We start from the raw sequence: 20,119 nt of genomic DNA, 5'->3' as shown, positions 1-20,119 counted from the left end.
AAAATAGACACAATCAACACACACACAAATAACATTTAGTAATGGTTAATAATTAAAGATCTTCACTTTGAGAGAGTAGTATTTGTTTTTATTGAATTGTTTGCCATGTTCAATATTTTTTCTTTGGCTTCCAATATGTCCTGAGGAGGATTTTTTTTTTTTTTTTTTTTTTTTGAGATAGGGTCTCACTCTGTCACCCAGGCTGGAGTGAAGTGGCATGACCATGGCTCACTGAAGCCTTCTTGACCTCTGGGCTCAAGCAATCCTCCCACCTCAGCCTTCCAAGTAGCGGGACTACAGGCCTGTGCCACCACACCCAGCTATTTTTTTATATATATTTTTTGTAGAGACAGGTGTCCCACTGTATTGCCCAGGCTGGTCTCAAACTGCTGGGCGCAGGCAGTCCTCCTGCCTCGGCCTCCCAAATGCAGGGATTACAGGCGTGAGCCACTGCCCCCAGTGAGGAATGAATTTTATAATTACATAAAACAATTACTGGAAAAGATAGCATCATTAATAAGAATAATAAAATGATTCACTTTCTGCTAATTTAATCTCAAGTACCTTAAGTCAGAGTTGTTAGCGTGATTCTAGCTATCATCCAGAGGAGGTCTTAAACTTTGTCTGCCAGAGCTGATGGCTGAGCAGACTCTCCCAAGGGCTCTGTAGTTTGTTAGGAAAACACAGCTCACGCAGCTACACAATCGCATGCTTGTTATTTTCCTTGGAGATTCAGAGCCCTGTTAGGTATTTGGCATTATTATTTTGAAGCCAAAGACAGGCTCTGATAGGGGAAGATACAAGGAATTAACAGATCTGAACGTTATGTTCAGCAATAATAAAAGTGATTTAGGGCAGACTGTCACCAATTAAAGATCCCTTTGTTTAGTTCATGTGTTTCTGTGTATGCTATTTAGACTTGGTTTTTTCTATCACTGAAATATTCCTTTGGGTTGTGTGGGGAGGGGATGTTATAATTGGCAACCTTAATTATGCTTCACAAAGATACATTGGTGGGAAGAGTTTGTTTGTTTGTTTTCAATTCAATAGCTATTTTCTCTAGTTCTTCCCAATTACTAGGGAGGTTTTAATGAGATCATTTTAAACTGTGAGGATTCTTCCCCCTTGAGACTGTTACCATTATCACCCCTGCTCCGTAAAATTTGAAAACTCCTTTTAATCCTTCTCCTATTTAACTGCTGGTATTGTGGGCTTGAGAGGGTAAAGAAGTGTGAGTTTGTGAGTGTGTGTGTGTGTGTGTGTGTGCATGTGCGCATGCCTTTGTTTCCCAGAAAATATTTAAATTAGAAAACACTCTAGTCTTTTTCAGGCACTTAAAAGATATGTGTGTCTTTATGAAAATAAAAGTTGAAAACATCTGTTTCAGGTTGTGTTCGATCACTCATCGTGCAACCTTGAGTCCTTGCATCACCTATGTGTCCTCATTTGCAATTGCGAGTGGGAGTGGAAGTAGGGAAGGTTGTACTAAGATTAAAGTTATGATTCTCAGCCACACGCAGTGGCTCACACCTTTAATCGCACCACTTTGGGAGGCTGACGCAGGTGGCTCACGTGAGGTCAGGAGTTTGAGACCAGCCTGGCCAACATTGCGAAACCCTGTCTCTACTAAAAGTACAAAAATTAGCTGGGCATGGTGGTGCTTGCCTGTAATCCCAGCTACTTGGGAGGCTGAGGCAGGAGAATCAGTTGAACCCAGAAGGCGGAGGTTGCAGTGAGTTGAGATTGTGGATTGTGCTGCTGCATTTCAGCCTGGGTGACAAGAGTGAAACTATCTCAAAAAAATAAAATAAAAAATAAAAAAGTTATGATTCTATATGAGCTGTTATTCACATTATGTTGTTGTTTTTTACTGGTGACTTTTGAGCCTTTTCTTCAGGACCACTAGACCTGAATGAACTCTTCTGCAGGATAGCCCAAGGTGGAAAAGTAAAATAGTATCTCCTTTATTTGTTTTGCATATTAGACTTTTATCTAAAATTTCAATTAAACAAAGCATGCTATGAAATACACACACATACACACATGCACACACGCACACACAAAGGAGAGAGAAAAATTCTGAAATAAGTGCCCTGAAAGCAGAGACTTTGTCTTGTTTATCTTACTAGCTACCATCACCAAATATAGTGTGTTGTACTTTTATTGAATGAATGATTAAGTGAATCACAAAATCCATAAGATTTTTGGGATTCAGTGTAATTGCAGGGAATTTTACATATGCTTTACATATGTGAAAGTGAAATGCTGTGAACTTTTTGTGCATTCCAATTGTAGAATATTCTTTAATATGTTATTAGTTCTTGTGTCCTTAAATATTGATTTATCATATCCTTTAGTGTGTTATTCATTTTATTGTTATTGATTTAATATGTTATTGAGCTTAATTTATGGCAGTCCTTGGAAATGACCCACGTTTTGAGTTATTTTCATTTTCCAATCAAAATAACTGAGTGTTTTTTGTTTTGTTTTGTTTTGTTTTTACCATAATTTGGTGCTTAGTGTTACCATCACAGTATATCAATGACTAGCGGTCATGTATGTCACGTGTCTGTATTATACATACATATATATATAATCCACATATGTTGTATATATACATTTATAAACTTAGAATGTATCAGATGTATTTGAGTTTTTCAGTTAAAAAATACATGATATGGATCAAACTAGATTAAAATTTGTCATCCCCAAAATTAAAGTATGAATTCATTGATCAATGAATATTATCAGTTAGCAAATAAGATTTGAAATATGGTAGCATATAGATCCAAATAGCTCAAAATCAAGGGCTGAATTTAAAGCCATAATATTTTTTAACCAATGAAACAATTTTCATATCAGACTCTATACTCTCAAATCATGTTTTAAATTTTTTAAAAAATAAGGATATCTTTTGTTCTGTTGTTCCTCCTCGTAGAAGGATTTACTTATATATTGTCTACCTATTCTCCTGTACCTTGAAAATGGCATGATCAGTTACTCAGATTAGAAACCTGGGTGTTATTATTAATGTCTTTCTCTGTCAACTTCAGCCCTTCAATAAATCATTTTGATTTTTGCCAACAAAAGGTACCTCCAATCTGTCACTATTGTGTCAAATCTGGTATCATAATCATGGTATAAAACCATCACCATTTTACCTGTAATTACTTCAGTAGCCTTCTAATTGGTCTCTATACTTCCTTTTTTGTTTGTTTATTTTTTTGAAACAGGGTCTGGCTCTGTTGCTCAGGCTGGAATGCAGTAGTGCAATCATGTCTCAAAGTGGCCTCAATCTCCCAGGCTCAAGCGATCCTCCTACCTCAGTCTCCCCACTAGCCAGAACCACTGGTGAGCACCACCATGCCTAGCTAATTTTGTACATTTTGTTTTTTGTAGAGACAGTGTCTCACTATGTTTCGCAGGCTGGTCTCCAACTCCTGGGCTCAGGCCATCCTCCAGCATCTGCCTCCAAAATGCTGGGATTATGCGCTGAGCCACCACACCTGGCCTCCACGTCCATTATTACTTCCCTCTCCATTTCATTCACAGAGCAGCTAGAATGAACACTGAAGTATGAGAATTTCATTATAACACTATGTTGCTTAAGACTCCAGTGGCTTCTCATTGGAATTAAAATAAAAGCTTACCCTTGCTCATGGCTGCTGTGCATAGCAAATCTGGTCCCTGTCGTCCCTACCAAGGTTGTCTTGTTTTGCTCTCCACCGGTACCACTACACGGCATCCAAGGCTTTTCCAGTGTACCAGGATTTTTCCTCACCTGAAGTATTTCCTGTGCCTGCAATGCACTTCCCGAGGATAAGTTTTACTCATTACTCAGGCTTCACCTTAACTGTTACTTCCTTACTATTCCCTCACCTCCAATTTAAATTATGTTTCTCATTATTCTCTCACACAGCCTCCTATACCTTCCTTCATGACATGTATCACAATTATAGTTGTATATGTATGTGTTTATTTGAATATGTGTGTCTACCTCCCTATACCCCAAGCACTACAACTATAGAACTCCCGCCAATGCAAGCCACCATTTAAAATCTACTACTTAGCATATTGGAAAGTGTAGTAAACATTTACTGGATACCTCCTGTGTCTTGGATGTTGTCCTGGGCACTGGAAATACTAGGGGATAATCACAAATTCCCTGTTCTCATGGAGCTGACCTTCAGATACAAAGAGCCAGGCAATAAATACAGAAGCATATTTCTTTGATTGAGGACTCTTGCTGCAAGGCTACATAAAAAGTTGGATTTTACAAAAGAAAGAATGCATGCTTGTCTTGCCCTAATCAGGGTCCCGTAGCTCAGATATCCTCATTTTGTCTGTGTTTTTTTAACCCTGCCAGGCTACTCCTGAGTGTGACTTTTGCTCTGGCACTTTAAAACCCTCATCAATGGCATTCTTTGTCCTCCTTTCCATTTGTACTGGCAGCTGAGAAATTTGGCAATTCCTTACATAGTGACTAATAGCAATACTTCTTTGCAGATGTAATGCACCATATAAATGGCAAGTCCTGTATAAACATTAAATAATTAGCTTTCATAATAACCCTATCAAGATAGAGTGTAAAACTCTCTGTTTTTTATGGAAATAACTGAGTCATTGTGAACGTACCTGTTAAAATCACAGAATAGTGAAAGAATCTGTGTTGTGATTCTGACATTCTAGACTTCTGTTTCTGATTCATAAATAAACACATCTACAAATATTACTGTATAAAATGATGTCCTGTAAAAAGTGAACTTTTAAAATAAATCTATCATTTATAGGTTATTTTAAAGTGTATAAAATGCAAACATACAGTAAGTTACTGACTTTAAGTTAGAACATATGATTTTAGCCATTTGACTTACTTTGGTGATACATTTTAAAATGATCTACCAGACTTTCAAGTCCACTGAATATTAACTATTTAAATGTTGATTCTAATGAGAACACATGGACACAGGTTGGGGAACAACACACATCAGGTCCAGTTGAGGGGCAGAGAAGGGCAAGGGGAAGGAGAGCATTAGGACAAATAGCTAACGCGTGTGGAGCTTAAAACCTAGATGTCAGGTCGATAGGTGCAGCCAACCACCATGGCACATGTATACCTATGTAAGAAACCTACACACTCTCCACTTGTATCCCAGAACTTAAAGTCAAATTAAAAAAAAATTGATCCTTACTGATGTACACTTTTCTCTAGAACACATTACAAATTTTAACTGAAACCTACTATGCCAAACTTACCTTCTCTTTGTCCTGAAGACTTAGTGCTGTTGGAATAAGCACTAGGGAGTATTTTGCACGGCAGTACAGGAAGTGTCATTATGATGTTCATATTTCTGCAAAATGTGAATGTGGTTTAAGCTTGAACCCAATCTGGATGTAATTCTAACAATTAAAAGACCAGAGACAACATGGCCCCGTTTCTACAGCCCAGCAGATTGCAGAAACATACAACTGTATTTAAGTTAGCTTGCTTCTCCATCATACAGTATGTAAATAAACAATTTGCTAGTAATTGTTTTTATTCTGGTAATTCTTCTCATTTTATCTGCAATGCCTTGTGTTCATTCATGTTACGTTGTTATCATATAATGTTGAGTGATATTTGCCATCCATCCGCTATATCAGATTTTCAGAATGTACAATTTTTGAATAAAAGTACTCCTTTCCTAGGTTAGGACATAAGAGTTTTGTCCAATCTTCAAAAGTGCTTCTACCAGCATATTTTCTTCCAGGGTCCTAAGCAAAGCATAATTTAAGGTTTAAAAACAAAGTTGCATGATATAAGAAAAATACAAGTAGAAGACATACTTATTGTAGAATATTCCTAGATATATTCAGTGTCAAATTTTAAAAATTAAATGAGTACCTTTAGGAAACTTTATACAGAATTGATGTTCACATGCATCTTTTTTAGAAACAAATTCCTTAGCTTTAGAAGATGGTGTTGTAAGATGGATAATATTTGATGGAATATTATTTTACTTGTTATTATTTTAGTTTTCCTCTTCAATGGTTTATCTTTCTGTACATTTATCCTTTTGTTGGAATATTTTTTAAAGTTTGAAATTATTTAATAAATATTAAGAAATTTTTCACACATTTGTACAAAGAACAGCACTTCGTTCTTCTGGGCAGTGCTGTCAGCTAAAAAGTAAGACTGAAAATAGTTATAGAAGACTTTATGATATGCTTTCTGATCCAGCCTTCAAAATTTATCTCTTAATTCAAAATAACCTGCAATAAGACCCTATTGTATTACTGTTTCCCAAAAAGGTGAATATTAATGTTTTTTGACAGACGTCAACATTTTACATATACTTCACTGCAAGGAAGATACAAGAGTTATAGCACAGCTGCCAGACACAAAGTATGTGCTCAGTGCAGATGTGTTAAATGAAAGAATGATAGTTATTTTGATATTAAATTACACTTATTTACATCAGCATGACGTTGGTGTTCAGACAGGGAACTAGGAGTGTCATAAAAGTAAGTAATATTTTCTGTACTATGACTATGTATGTGAGTAATAATTTTGAAAACAATTAAAATGGTACATGGCAACAGAAATGGGTTGCTATTTAGCATTTATAGAGTTGTCTTTATTTACCTCGTCTTTATTTTCTCCTCCAATACACCTTAGTTTTTAAGGGATTCATTTTATTTTTTTTCCTAGTTGACAAGAGGTTACTATTTGCTGCAAGATTTCATTGATAAAGTAGTCTTTATCAATGGAAGTAGAAAAAAATAAATCCCAGGACTGCAGAATATCTTCCCCTATTTTTCCCAAGATACCCACTTCTAATTAAATTGCCCATATTTAATTAAAATGCTTCTTAATATACAGCTTTTTCAATCATTTTCTGGTTGAAATATAAAAGGAAGCATTGATAAAAATTAGCACATCATATGTGTTATGAATAATGAAATCTAATTCTCAATATTATTCTGAAAATGTAGTGTCCTCTTCCAAGAAAAATAATCTGAAAAAACACAGGAATGCAGAATATATTCAAAGATAGCCATATGATTGTCAGGAGGGAAATTTCTCACTTATGTTACAATAGAATGAGTCTGAAATATTAATTATATCATGATACTTGTGTATTTAGAATTATGAACACTATGTTAAGACCAGATAGGCAGGCAACTTGGTAGAGGAGTGTTCTTTACATACTGGAGTTCTATATTCTAGCTTGGCCACTGCATCCTACAAATTCCTCACCTGTGAATCAAAACCAATACATTCACTTTGTCATAGACTTGTTATGAGTATTAAATGAATTGTTACTTACTAAGGTTCCTTACACAGTAAATGTTCAATTAGCATCAGCCATTGCTAACATCATTATTATATTGCTGACATTATTATTATTATTATTATTATTACTATTTATGTGGCATGCTCCTCTCCCCCGAGGAGCCTTAATTTATTAATTTCTAAAACAAAAAAGTGCAGATCACACATCTATCAAGCCCCTAACCGCACTGAGATTCTATGATTCATGTAGGTAAAGGCATTGTATGTAGTTCACAAATATTCACAATGAGTTGTTCAAATTTCACTTGAGCACTTGAGCCTACCAAGATTGGATAGTGGTGAGACTGTAGCGCAGTGATGCACAATCGCCATAAGTCAAGCCTTTTGCAATAATAAAGTGAATTTATTGGAAATACAATGGATTAGATAGAACAATTGGATTTTTACATTACAATAGTCACGTGGTAAACAAGCAAAACAACAAAAAATAATGCTTCACTGGTAATCAGAATACCTGGGTTTTCTTCTGGTCCCCTTCTCATAAATAACACAAGCAAAGCTTCCTGGGACTTGGTTGTCTCTGTTTATGGGATTGATTATATGTTGTCAAAGATCTCTGCCCATTCTGTAATGTTATGTTTCAGTTCTAAAATTTCCTCAATGCACTTAAAGACTGTTTTGCAAGTAGTAAAGTCTCCATATTACTTGGAACACTTTCTGTTTAACTTTTTTTATTCTGCTTTGCTTCCTATCTTAATATTACCCAGATAAGTTGCAAAGACACCACTGAATTTTAGAATTCTTTTCTGAAAACGTGTTTACTTATTTTGAGAATTGTGTTAAAATTGATGTAAAGTTTTCAAAAAGTAGTGATTATATGCTTTGTTATGTTTTGTACAATTAGTGAACTTTTTTATTTTATTTTATTTATTTATTTATTTATTTATTTATTTATTTATTTATTTATTTTTGAGATGGAGTCTTGCTCTGTTGCCCAGGCTGGAGTGCAGTGGTGTGATCTTGGCTCACTGCAAGCTCCACCTCCTGGGTTCACACCATTCTCTTGCCTCAGCCTCCTGAGTAGCTGCAACTACAGGTGCCCGCCACCAAGCCCGGCTAATTTTTTGTATTTTTAGTAGAAACGGGGTTTCACCTTGTTATCCAGGATGGTCTCGATCTCCTGACCTCGTGATCTGCCTGCTGGCCTCCCAAAGTGCTGGGATTACAGGCGTGAGCCACTGCGCCCGGCCCAGTGAACCACTTTTTTTTAAAGAAAAAACCTTCTAGGATTCAAATATTTAATGAAATGTATGTTTCCTCTAATTTAATAGAATAAAAAATGAAATGCTGTTGAGTTAAATTATATGTACCTAACTATACACATAAAATAAAACTACACAAATATGAAAGAAACATTATATTGTTACAATCTTAGTGGGAACTCTGATTTAATACCTTTTTAGGTGATATCTACTTGGATACACTATGCATGCTACTTGCTCTTTTCAAATTAGTATTAGACCTTTTTGACAATTCCAAATTAAAATTTTCATACGATTCAAATCAAGAAACATTAAAAGTATATATACTTTGGTTAATAGAAATGGTTAAAGGAGAAAAGGAGAAGCTTTTCAAAAGATTTATCTGGGAATACTTATGGATGCTTTTGGTTTTTCTGCCAAAATGCTGCAAATCATTTGAATTTCATTTTTATTGTGATGACTTAAGTGTACTCATGAATTTTGAAAACTGGACAGTTTAACTAAAAGTTTCATATAGTTTTATAAGGTGGCACCATATTATTTTCCCCCAAAAGGAAATCTTTGGGATAAGTATAAGAAAGAAAAATTAGTTTTAGAAGAGAGAAGAAAAATATTAAATTCATAACTTTATGCAGAATTGCCATAGTCATGGGCAATACTGAAGTTTTATGCTTTACAGCTGCAAAAACAATCATATGAGCATTATCTAAGCAACAGTTTTTAATGGATTACATTTTGTTAGTTTTTCATTATATATTATAAAAGGCCAAATAACATAGTAAATATTTAAGAAAAACTTGATTTATCTGACTTAGACCTTTGATATTTCTGCAAGACATTTTATTATTCATTGGTTTGAGAAATGATTCAGCTTGTAAATAAGATATAGCATTACCAAATTGGTTTTAAGGTTGCCACAGAGAAAAATTGTGCATATTGTTTACTTTTATTTGAAAAGTATTTTACTTTTGGGTGTTTCAAAGGTGTTAACCTTTTCAGAGATGTTATCATTGATTAATAATGTGATCCAGCAAAGGCACATACTGCCTGTCAAGGTCAATCCATTTGCTTTTTCTGCAGGCCTTATATTTTATTTGTGTTACATTCTTAACACCTAATAATAATATAAGTTTATAAATAGTGAAAGTCTTTATACTCTGTTCTTTTATTATGTGGTAACAGTAGCTGGAGTTTTCAGTTTAACAAGGTTTACCTTTGTGTCTATATATTTTATTAATACTGAATAGTATTGAAGTTAGAATTTAAACAGTTTGGCGAGATCAGATTTATTTTGCTTTTCCTTTTACTGTTCTTTCCAAAGATAAGAAAGAAGGTCTTCTCTTTGAAGCAGTAGTTTCCAAATATTAACATAGTCATGCCGTGCCCAAGTTGTCTTAATATTCAGATTAGAAAATGGGGATTTTTTTCATGGATGTGATAACTTACTCGAATGGATACATCTAGTTGGTTGGAATTGAGGAAGGAAAAAATTTAAACTGGTTTGAGGTTTTGAAAAAAAGTTTAAGAGTGATTTTTGAAAGAACAGCTTGAGCATAAGTTTTTTACACTGTAGTACTTCATCCATGAAAGCACTTTTAAATGCCAGTGGAATGGAAAGACGTCCATTCCAGTACAAAATTATAGTAATAAATATTAAATTCAAATATTCTTTTAAAAATTCAATAGGATTTATTTATTTATTTATTTATTTATTTATTTATTTATTTATTTATTTGAGACAGAGGCTGGCGTGCAATGGCACGATCTCAGCTCACCACAACCGCCACCTCCTGGGTTCTAGCAATTCTCCTGCCTCAGCCTCCGGAGTAGCTGGGATTACAGGCATGCATCACTGTGCCTGGCTAATTTTGTATTTTTAGTAGAGACAGGGTTTCTCCATGTTGGTCAGGCTGGTCTCAAACTCCTGACCTCAGGTAATCCGCCCTCCTTGGCCTCCCAAAGTGCTGGGATTATAGGCGTAAGCCACCACACCCAGCCCAATTCAATAGGTTTTAAAAGATAAATAACATTTATCAATCCAAATCTGTGCACTTAACATACTAATAAACATTTTCAGTACCATGTTAAATTAGGTTACCAAAATGGTTCACATTCTACTACACATCAGATCAAGGAAAGCAGGGTGGAGGAATGATAACTATTGGACTTTGTACTGAAGTATATATATGTTCATCCCTCTTTTGTGAAAAGGGAAGCAAAAGTATTAAATAGTTATGTTCAAGATTGCATGTCTAGTATACAACAGAGTTGTATTTAAGACTAACATGCCACATAATTCATGATTTCTTGATGTTATCAAGATACTGGGGACAATTTTACTGTATGAGCTATTTTTGGAATATGTATTTGGTTTCTTTTCCACATTTAATTCTAACAGTTACAAAATACTGCTTGTTTTACAGTATGTTAATATTATATTAGTATCCAGTTGAAATTACAATAGTGAATTGTTTCTTCCTCCACAGTATGGGACTAATGTTAGTAGTACAATTAGAATTAATAATATCTCTCATTCTGAATAGGTTAAGGATTTAATGAGATAGTATACACAAAAAAACAACAAAAACATAGAACATAAAAGTGATGCTGTTGGTAGCACTGCTGTTATCCATATTGGTGCCTTCTAACAGTCTCAGTAATCATGGAAAAACACAATGAGTTTCAATGTAATGGCTTTGTAGATATGTCTAAAGTTTTTATATTGAGCATATTTAAATTATGATGATTATATAACCTTATACATTAATTTTATATATTTATAAAATATTGCTCAATTAAATTCATGCTTAGAAGTATCTTATTTTTTTCTTTTAATATTTAGCTTTGCATGTATATGTAATTCATTTAATTATAGAAAGCATTATCCTGTGGCATCATATAGATAAAAGGAGGATTCAGTTATATTGGTTAGCACATGGCTGAGAAAAATGTAGGCAGCAGGCAGAAAAGAAATGCAAGTTAAAGATGAGCCAAATACTAACTGTGAGGGCACTAAGCAGCGGAATACACGCGCCTGCTGGCCTCTGAAGAATATCAAATTATCCCTTCTGTGTATGTTTAAGGTCAAATATCTTTATTAAATTGCAGATGTCTATAAGTAGATATAGATTCTTAAAGCTGTATTGCAAGAGCTATTAGTGGTAGTTTATTATAATTATAATAAATGTCTCCTGCTGAAGTTCAGAGATTAGGACTGTATCTATCACTTTTGGGTATAATGATTTAATCTTGTTCCTACAGTACTTCGGGATGACTTCAGACAAAACCCTTCGGATGTCATGGTTGCAGTAGGAGAGCCTGCAGTAATGGAATGCCAACCTCCACGAGGCCATCCTGAGCCCACCATTTCATGGAAGAAAGATGGCTCTCCACTGGATGATAAAGATGAAAGAATAACTGTGAGTATTTAATTCAACAGCAGAGGACATTTGTTGGTCTAACTGTGTGTATCTTTACCAAAGAAAAAAGAGAAAAATGAAGTAGATTATTTTCAATAAAGGCTTGCGTCAGCTCCCATGTTCAGCTTTTCTTTTAAAAAATATATATTTCAATTCTTTCTGTGTTGACATGAAAGTAAGTAAGGAAAATTCATGGTGTTTAGAGATCAGTAAAAGAAAAACTATAATTCCTGTTTTAGTGTCTCAGAGTTAACACTTTTATGTATGACTTAATTATTGTCGTAACTCAGGGCTTATAAAATTTCCATGTGTTATAGTAAAAACTGTTTATTAAAGAAAATCTGTTATTTAGTATGTTTCCAGAAGGCCTCTTAAGCCACTTCAGGATGTTTTTATGTTTTTTTCTCATTTTTAAAAGTGCTTTTCTGTTCTATAGTGTTCAATATTGTTTCTGAAAAATAAAATCTTATTTTGAAAGGTGGTTAATGATGAATTTATCTCAATATAAAATGAAGTCATATGATGAGATTATTGGATTTCAAATTCCTGCTCTGATGTAAGAAATTATATGTGATTTGTATGAAGTCAAGATGCGTTTTCTTCTTGACAGCCGTGATTCTATATGACTTCTTTGTTTGTTTTGTCTTGGAAGATGTTGGCTAAAGCACCTCAGTCACCAAGCCCTCATTGATTTTGTGGTTGCTCAATATTTCCCTTTACGATTCTCTTTGTTCAGCATGCACTGATATCTGTCCATTGTGAATTCGCTGGTCAAGATTTAAAGTTCCCTAGGAGAATGTATGTGTGAGGAAAAGGTCACTGCTGAAGATGTACAAGAGCAAAGTTATAATGTAGACCGCACAACCTAATTAGTAGTTGCACTGTTTCTCAGCACCTGGTTAGTAGATTAGCTTGGAAAAAATTAATAGTGAGAAAAGTAGAGAAGGTTGTGTTAGACCAGGTGTTAGAGACCTTGAAAGAAAATTAAGCATTTTATTTTCATGTAAATCTGAATTAGAATGAGTCTCCCAAAGGATTTCTGTAATTCTTGGGATTGGTGTGAGGATGACATGGTTCTGCTCATAAGAGGTGCTGCAGAGTCACATGACAAAAGTAACTGTATGGGGAAACATTGGTTTTTGGAAATGAAGTCAAGAAAGAGCATGGGAGAAATAGAGCGAAGAAACAAATGCTTTTCTTGTTAGTGATAACAGATTCCTTTTGGATTCATGTACAATGAAGGTAAGAATACTTTGCCCTTAAAAATATATTCTAGATCATTTAATGACCATTATCTATAATTCCTCTTTCCCTTCCTTACTTATTCAAACACATTAAAACCATTATCATCCCTGACTTTCCCTCATGCCTTTCCTGATAACCTATTCATGTTTAATATAAGTTAGTGACAAAAATCTTTTTTTTTTTTTTTTTTTGAAATGGAGTCTTGCTCTGTCACCAGGCTGGAGTGCAGTGGCACGATCTCGGCTCACTGAAACCTCTGCCTCCTGGGTTCAAGCGATTCTCCTGCCTCAGCCTCCTAAGTAGCTGGGATTACAGGCATGCACCACCACACCCAGCTAATTTTTGTATTTTTAGTAGAGATGAGGTTTCACCGTGTTGGCCAGGATGGTCTCGATCTTCTGACCTCATGATATGCCTGCCTTGACCTCCCAAAATGCTGGGATTACAGGCATGAGCCACCACGCCCGGCCAACAAAATTCTTAGCCCTGGAGATGCAACTTGATCAAAACTCAGTGAGTGTTCTGCTGGAGCTTACATTTTATGAGTGCGTATACAGACAAAACCAAAATAAATAAGTGTAATATACAGTAAATTAAACTATAATAAATCCTATAAAAATAGAGAAAGAGTATACAGACAAAAACCAAAATAAATAAGTGTAACATACAGTAAGTTAAACTCTAGTAAGTCCTATTAAAAATAGTGAAGAGGTAGATGAATTCATTAGGGTTCAGGTGGGATTGAAATTTTAAATAGGCTGATTAGAGAGAATGCCTCACATAAAAACCTCAAAAAATTGATGGAATCAACTATACAAGTGTCTGGAAAAAGGGTATTCTAGGCAGATAAAATATTAAATAGAAAAACCCTAAGGTGGGGTATACCTAACGCATTCACTAGAGAGTAAAAAATCAGTGTTGGTTGAACAGAATGAGTAAAGATTTATAGGAGATACAATCAGGGGGTAGCCTTTTTAAAAAGGCTATGAATTTAATAATTGTCCAACTGCGTAGGCTCTTACAGGTGTTGTAGATAGTTTGGCTTTTCTTCTAAGTAAGGTGGGAAGCCTCTGCTCTCTTGAGAACACACTGAAACGTGGCAATGGTAGAGGCAGGGAGAACCACTAAGAGCTCTCAGGGTAATCTGGGTAAGAGACAAATGGTGGTTTGAACCAGGCTGTTAGGATGGGAAGGTAGTGAGGAGTGGCTAGATTCTGAATATACTACAAAGCAATAGCCAACAGAATTTGCTAACAGACTGGATGTGTTTGTGAGCAAAAGGGAAAAGTCAAGGACCTCCTAATTAATTGGCCTGCTCAACTGAAATGGTATAGATGCCATTAACTGAGATGCCATAGATTATAGGGGAAGATTTGGGATGGGAAGTATCAGGAGCTTAGTTTTAGACATGGTAATTTTGAAATGCTTATTGGATATCCAAGTATAATTGTCAAATAGGCAGTTGGATACATGAGTCAGAAATTCAGAATTGAGGTTAAGGTTGGAGAAAAAATTACATCGTGGTAGGCATACAAGTACTCATTACTATGCAGTTCTCCCGTCCTTCTGGCGGATGAAACACTCTACTTCCCAGCTTTTTTGCTGTCCGGCAGACCTGTTTGACTTTTTCAGCTTCATGGGTTGTGAGTGACAATTAAAGAAATTAAATACTAGTGGTTTAAATACTCCAGTACTCTCTTTACCACTCTGCAACCAAGGAAGCTACTTGTCTTATTTAGGTAGTGCAACTGCAACGTGGAAGACACCCTGAGAGCCTGAGCCCCTGAGTTATGTGTAGAACTTTCTACCCCACACCTGTCGTCTCAAGATGGACATGTAAAATGAATGAGAAATAAATCTTTGTTGATTAAGTCACTGAGGATTTTTTTAGCACATATAGCATAGCATATCCTGATGAATATAGGAGTCATCAGTTCTTACGTGTTATTTAAAACAGGAGACTGCAATCACCAAGGGAATGATTGCAGATAGAAAGGCAAAGCGGTTCAATGCTTAGTTCTCATGGAGAAGAGGCAGAAAGGGCAGTGGAAACTGAGAGGGAGCAGTCACTGAGAAAGGAGGAGAGTTAGAAGGGCCGCCAAGTAAAGACGATTTGAAGGAGGTGTCGGTGACTGAGTCAATTACAGCTGGTAGATGGAGTAATGATGAGGATTAAGAATTCACCACTGGATTTAACAACTTGGTAAGCAGTCATAAATGACCTTGACAAGAGCCGTTTCAGGGGAGGGGTGGGGGTTCAGACCTCACTGAACAGTTCAAGACAGACTGGAAAGATCAAAACTAGACACAGAGCATAGACGACTCTTTTTAATGTCATGTTCCATACACTAGATAAAAAATAATGGTGATTGTAGTCTTGCGTTTTGAAAGATCTCAGTTAATTTTAAAGGTTATATTTTGTGTGTATGCTTGTGTATGTGTTAATTTTTTGTGACATTCACCATTTAAAATCACTATAATAAATTTGATTTTTAAAAATTCTTGGAACTCCCTGATGTATCATATAGTGAACTAGATGACATTTTATTGCTTATGCCAAAATATGTAATTTATTATAGAATCTTCATTTACTTTTGCTGTCTAAGGGGATGCTGTCCTCTAATTAAAGAGCACCAGTTCCCCCACGCCATCAGTAGCTTCTAGTCAATGTAAGAACCACCTACAACAAGGAATCAAACAGTTTAAAGTTGTAAAAACCTATGACTATGAAATGATGCCAAGATGTTAATATATAAATAACTTTTAAATCATTTACATGCTGCCAAAATGATGATCCATGATGGTGTTCCATATGCTAGGAAGTTGTAACATCTGAAACTTTTACTATTTCTAAGACCATCTGTGTGTTTTGTATAAATTATGACTGTGGAACTGATAAAACACTGGAGGTAAAAAGCACATTTATACATTTGGGAAAAGGAATACATTAAAAATCAGCAGTTTGGGTTCAAAATCACTGATCTTATGTAGATCATAATTGTTTTTGTTTTATTTTCTTCCTTTAGGCAAAACTGAAATTGAATAATTAAAACAAAAACTTAGAACATAAACAGAATACATGACATTATTTCCAGTTTTTTTTTTAATAGTGAAAATAAATTCTTAAAACATGTTGGTTATTAGTCATTGTACGTGATTCTTCTTTCCTAAGCTTTGTATTCAAATGAGTGTTTTCATCTCTGTTGTTAATGTACTTTGCCAAATGTGCTGAGTGCAGATGAACAGAAGATTAAAGCACATAATATCGTTATGAAAGACAATTGAAGATTGCATGCTTATTGCTACAGTTTTGGTTATAGGAATTTCTAGAGTTCTTTAATGTGGTGGCTTTCTTTGTTGAAAATTTAAAGTACACCTCTCCCAGCTGTGAGAACAAAGACACACCCTACAAAAAGGGGAAATATGTAGTTGAATTATAGCTGCACCTGTATTTTTTTTAAGTTCTTAATTCATTTCTTCTTACATTGACCTGGATTCTGAGCCAAATTTTAGATCCTGGATGATTATAAACCAGGAATATATAAATAACATTTTCTTATTCTCTTACATGATAGGAGAGTCTTTTAGAACTTTTTTGGCACATATTTCTTAGAATCATTTGAAAGAGGCCTTAAATGATGTTTGTCTCTAGTGTTCTTTCTTTTCTAGACATTAGTATTTATATTTAGAGTCAGAAATAAAAGTAGTTTAACTGGTAGGCTAGATTAAATTGATTTACTTCATGTGTTTGAGACTTAATCATATCCATCATTGTTAATAAATGAAATTTTCTTATACAGATGAATCGGAGGACTAAAGTGTTCTTTTGGATGTCTTTGAAAATACCTCACAAAGAGCGATTTTTAAAAATTTCACTACTTTTTAGAAATATTGCATTTAAGTTCAAGATACTTTATTAGGGTGGAAAAAAGAAAATACTAAGATTGGGAAAAAGTTAACACCAAGTATTGAAAAAATAATTATTTTGTTCAATCTAAAAACTAAAATTGCCTTCCTCATTAAGGAAAAAGTTAAAACATTTAAAGTAGACATCACAAATATTTTCCTAGTTTGTTTGTTTTAAAATTTGCCACTTATTCTATGTTTGTTTTCTTAGACAATTTTAATATTTTTATCTCAGCAAAAAAGTAAGTTTGTTATAAATTAGCACAGTTTCTTTGGGTCACAGACAATTGCACCAAGTTCCAGGCATCAATTTCTCATACTTTGTATTGGATTTCTATAAAATGAACCTGGTGGTAGCTGCAGGAATTGCAGGCATAGAGATGAAATTGCTGATCTCTTATGGAGGATGGCTTATAAATAAAATTTATTTAATTGACTATTACAAGCATAAAAACAAATGTGCTTATGAAATAAAATATTAAGGTATTTAATAGTACCTAGGTGATAACTGATGAGACAAGAGCAACTGTATAGTTTATCTTAATATATGTTAAAAATAAGATCATAAATCAATACCATTATACTAACAGAAAATGATACTTTTGTGTATTTATATGAGATCTGCTAATTGACAAGTAGTAATTAAACCTTTTGTTTTAGATTAGTAAATGAATATTTACAGAAACAATAGTATATTTTCAATATCTGTTCATAGTATATATGATATGTTTATTGAATGTTGCAAGTTAGGATTTAAGGCCTTGTATTTAGCTCTTCTGCATAAGTGTGTCATGAAAGTCAATTGAAAAAAGTTCCTTTTGCCAGGCGCGGTGGCTCATGCATGTAATCCCAGCTCTTTGGGAGGCCAAGGCAGGCAGATCACCTGAGGTCAGAGTTCAAGACCAGCCTGACCAACAGGGAGAAACCCCGTCTCTACTCAAAATACAAAAAAACTAGCCAGGCGTCATGGTGCATGCCTGTAATCCCAGCTACTCGGGAGTCTGAGACAGGACAGTCGCTTGAACCTGGGAGGCAGAGGTTGCAGTGAGCCGAGGTCGCGCCATTGCACTCCAGCCTGGGCAACAAGAGTGAAACCCTGTTTCAAAAAAAAAAGAAAGAAAGAAAGAAAGAAAGAAAGAAAAAAAGAAAAATAAGAAATAAGTTGCTTTTTAATCTGAAAAATTTTAAATAAAAATTATTTAAATTTATTTAAATTTTATTTTATTAAATTTAAATAAATGTCAATTTTTAGAGAGAATAATAACAATAGCTATTGCATATTAAGAACTTGCTATGTATTATATGTTTTATATCATCTCATTTTATCCACTTGAAAACACAGTGCCTAAGCTATTTTCTTTACATTAGGGTACACTTATACTTGTCAATTTAGTCTTATGAAGAAGGTGAAGAAGAAGGAGATGATGATGATGATGATAATAGTAAGCACTTATTATAGCACTTGCTGTGTGCCAGGTCCTATTACAAGCACTTTATGTATATTCACCCATTTAATCCTGCCAACAATCTTGTCAGTTACATACTAAAAATTCTGCTAATGCAGTCACTACATCTAAATTGGCTGGTTAGGGAAGAGAGGGCAACCAAGGGGGCACTTGCATTTTTTTGACTCATAACATTTTTTATAGGGTCCTATAGATTCTGCAACATATATAACAACTCTGCTATGCTATCAGTGCAAATTTTGACTCAGGATGACAGTATCTCTTAGTTTCCATTATGAAGTACTGTTTTTAATGTTCAATGATTTGGAGAGATTAGTTCACAGAATGGAAGTTGTGGTGGTCTTGAAACCGGGGTTTGGCATGTTCAAGAACTAGTCCATATTATGTTCAGTATTGAAATCTATAACATAACAAAGGTTTTTAAATTTGAAAAATTGAGTAGTTTTTTAAAAGATGACACAGAAATGGTCAAATTTGGCCAAATATTATAGCTCAGACAACCTAAAATTATTTATTCTGAAGACTAGAAGTCTTACCTAAAAAGATAGTAGAGGTTATCTAAAGAAAACAATTAACTGTCATCATTTGCCACTTAGGAAAAGAAGGATTTATGTTGAAAAGGATATTATAAATCAGTAAGTTATTCAACTGAATATGCTTTGTAGTTATCAGTCCAAATTGTGAGTTAGCCAGGTTCTAATATCATTAGCTGCACACATTTCAAAAGTTATTGTTGAAAAAAGTAAGCAATTATGAGATATTATATAACAAATGAAAAATTGAGTTAAGTAAAATATTATTAATGTAGTGACTGGGGAATTTTGTATAGATATAATAAAATACAGTAAAAACTAACACATTAGCAACACAGTATAAATATTAAGCTCTGCCTAGACTCAATTCTGAAATTTCAAAAATATTTTCTTCATGATAACCTTTGTCGATCATTTATCCCGAATTATTTCATTTTATTAAGAAGAAGAGCTTAAAAGACACTCATCTTTTCATGCTTCAAATTCTGAGCTGATATGAGCCTTTGTGACTTAAGCATTTTTGAATGACTTATATTATTCCTTGAGATAAGTTATGCTGAGTTGTTTATTCTTCTTCCTACTGTCCTTACAGTAGCATGCCACAAATATTCTCTATGTCTACAACTGTTTTTACTTGATTGAAAAAATAATTTAGATGATGGGGAAAGAATTTGTTTGTAAGATATTTATTTTCATCAAAGCTGTTATCCAATCAGTAACTATTTTTTTCATTTCATCTACTTATTGCATAGCTGAATTAAGATTTTATCCATTCTTCTTTGCAAAAGGTAGAAAAAAAATTTACAGCATCAGTATGCTTTAGCATAATGAACAAGTATATTTAGTAGTTTTTTCTTAAGATTTTTACCTTACCTAGGAAAACCAACCATTCTGGTTTGCCCAGGATGGTCCTGGTGTTAGAAATGAGAATTCTATTCCCAGGAAATCTCTCAGGTCTGGGAAAATGGGGACAGTTGGTCACTGTAATCCTAGATGGTTTAAACGAATTGTT

At 34.4% G+C, this 20,119-nt stretch overlaps 1 protein-coding gene across 18 annotated transcripts in view; it reads left to right on the top strand.

Annotated features, from left to right (window-relative positions):
* Positions 1–20,119, top strand: part of ROBO1 (roundabout guidance receptor 1) — a 1,170,760-nt gene that overhangs the window by 1,009,299 nt on the left and 141,342 nt on the right. For all 18 annotated transcript variants that reach the window (XM_017006982.2, XM_047448664.1, XM_047448661.1 and 15 more), the window contains one exon: positions 11,800–11,957. In XM_017006982.2, the coding sequence (XP_016862471.1) occupies positions 11,800–11,957 (158 nt within the window). The remainder of the gene's footprint in view (positions 1–11,799; positions 11,958–20,119) is intronic.

The sequence above is a fragment of the Homo sapiens genome, chromosome 3, assembly GCF_000001405.40.
Source record: "Homo sapiens chromosome 3, GRCh38.p14 Primary Assembly".
NCBI classification, from domain to species: domain Eukaryota; kingdom Metazoa; phylum Chordata; class Mammalia; order Primates; family Hominidae; genus Homo; species Homo sapiens.
Note: the sequence above shows the minus strand (reverse complement) of the source record. Positions and strands in the feature narration are given on the sequence as shown.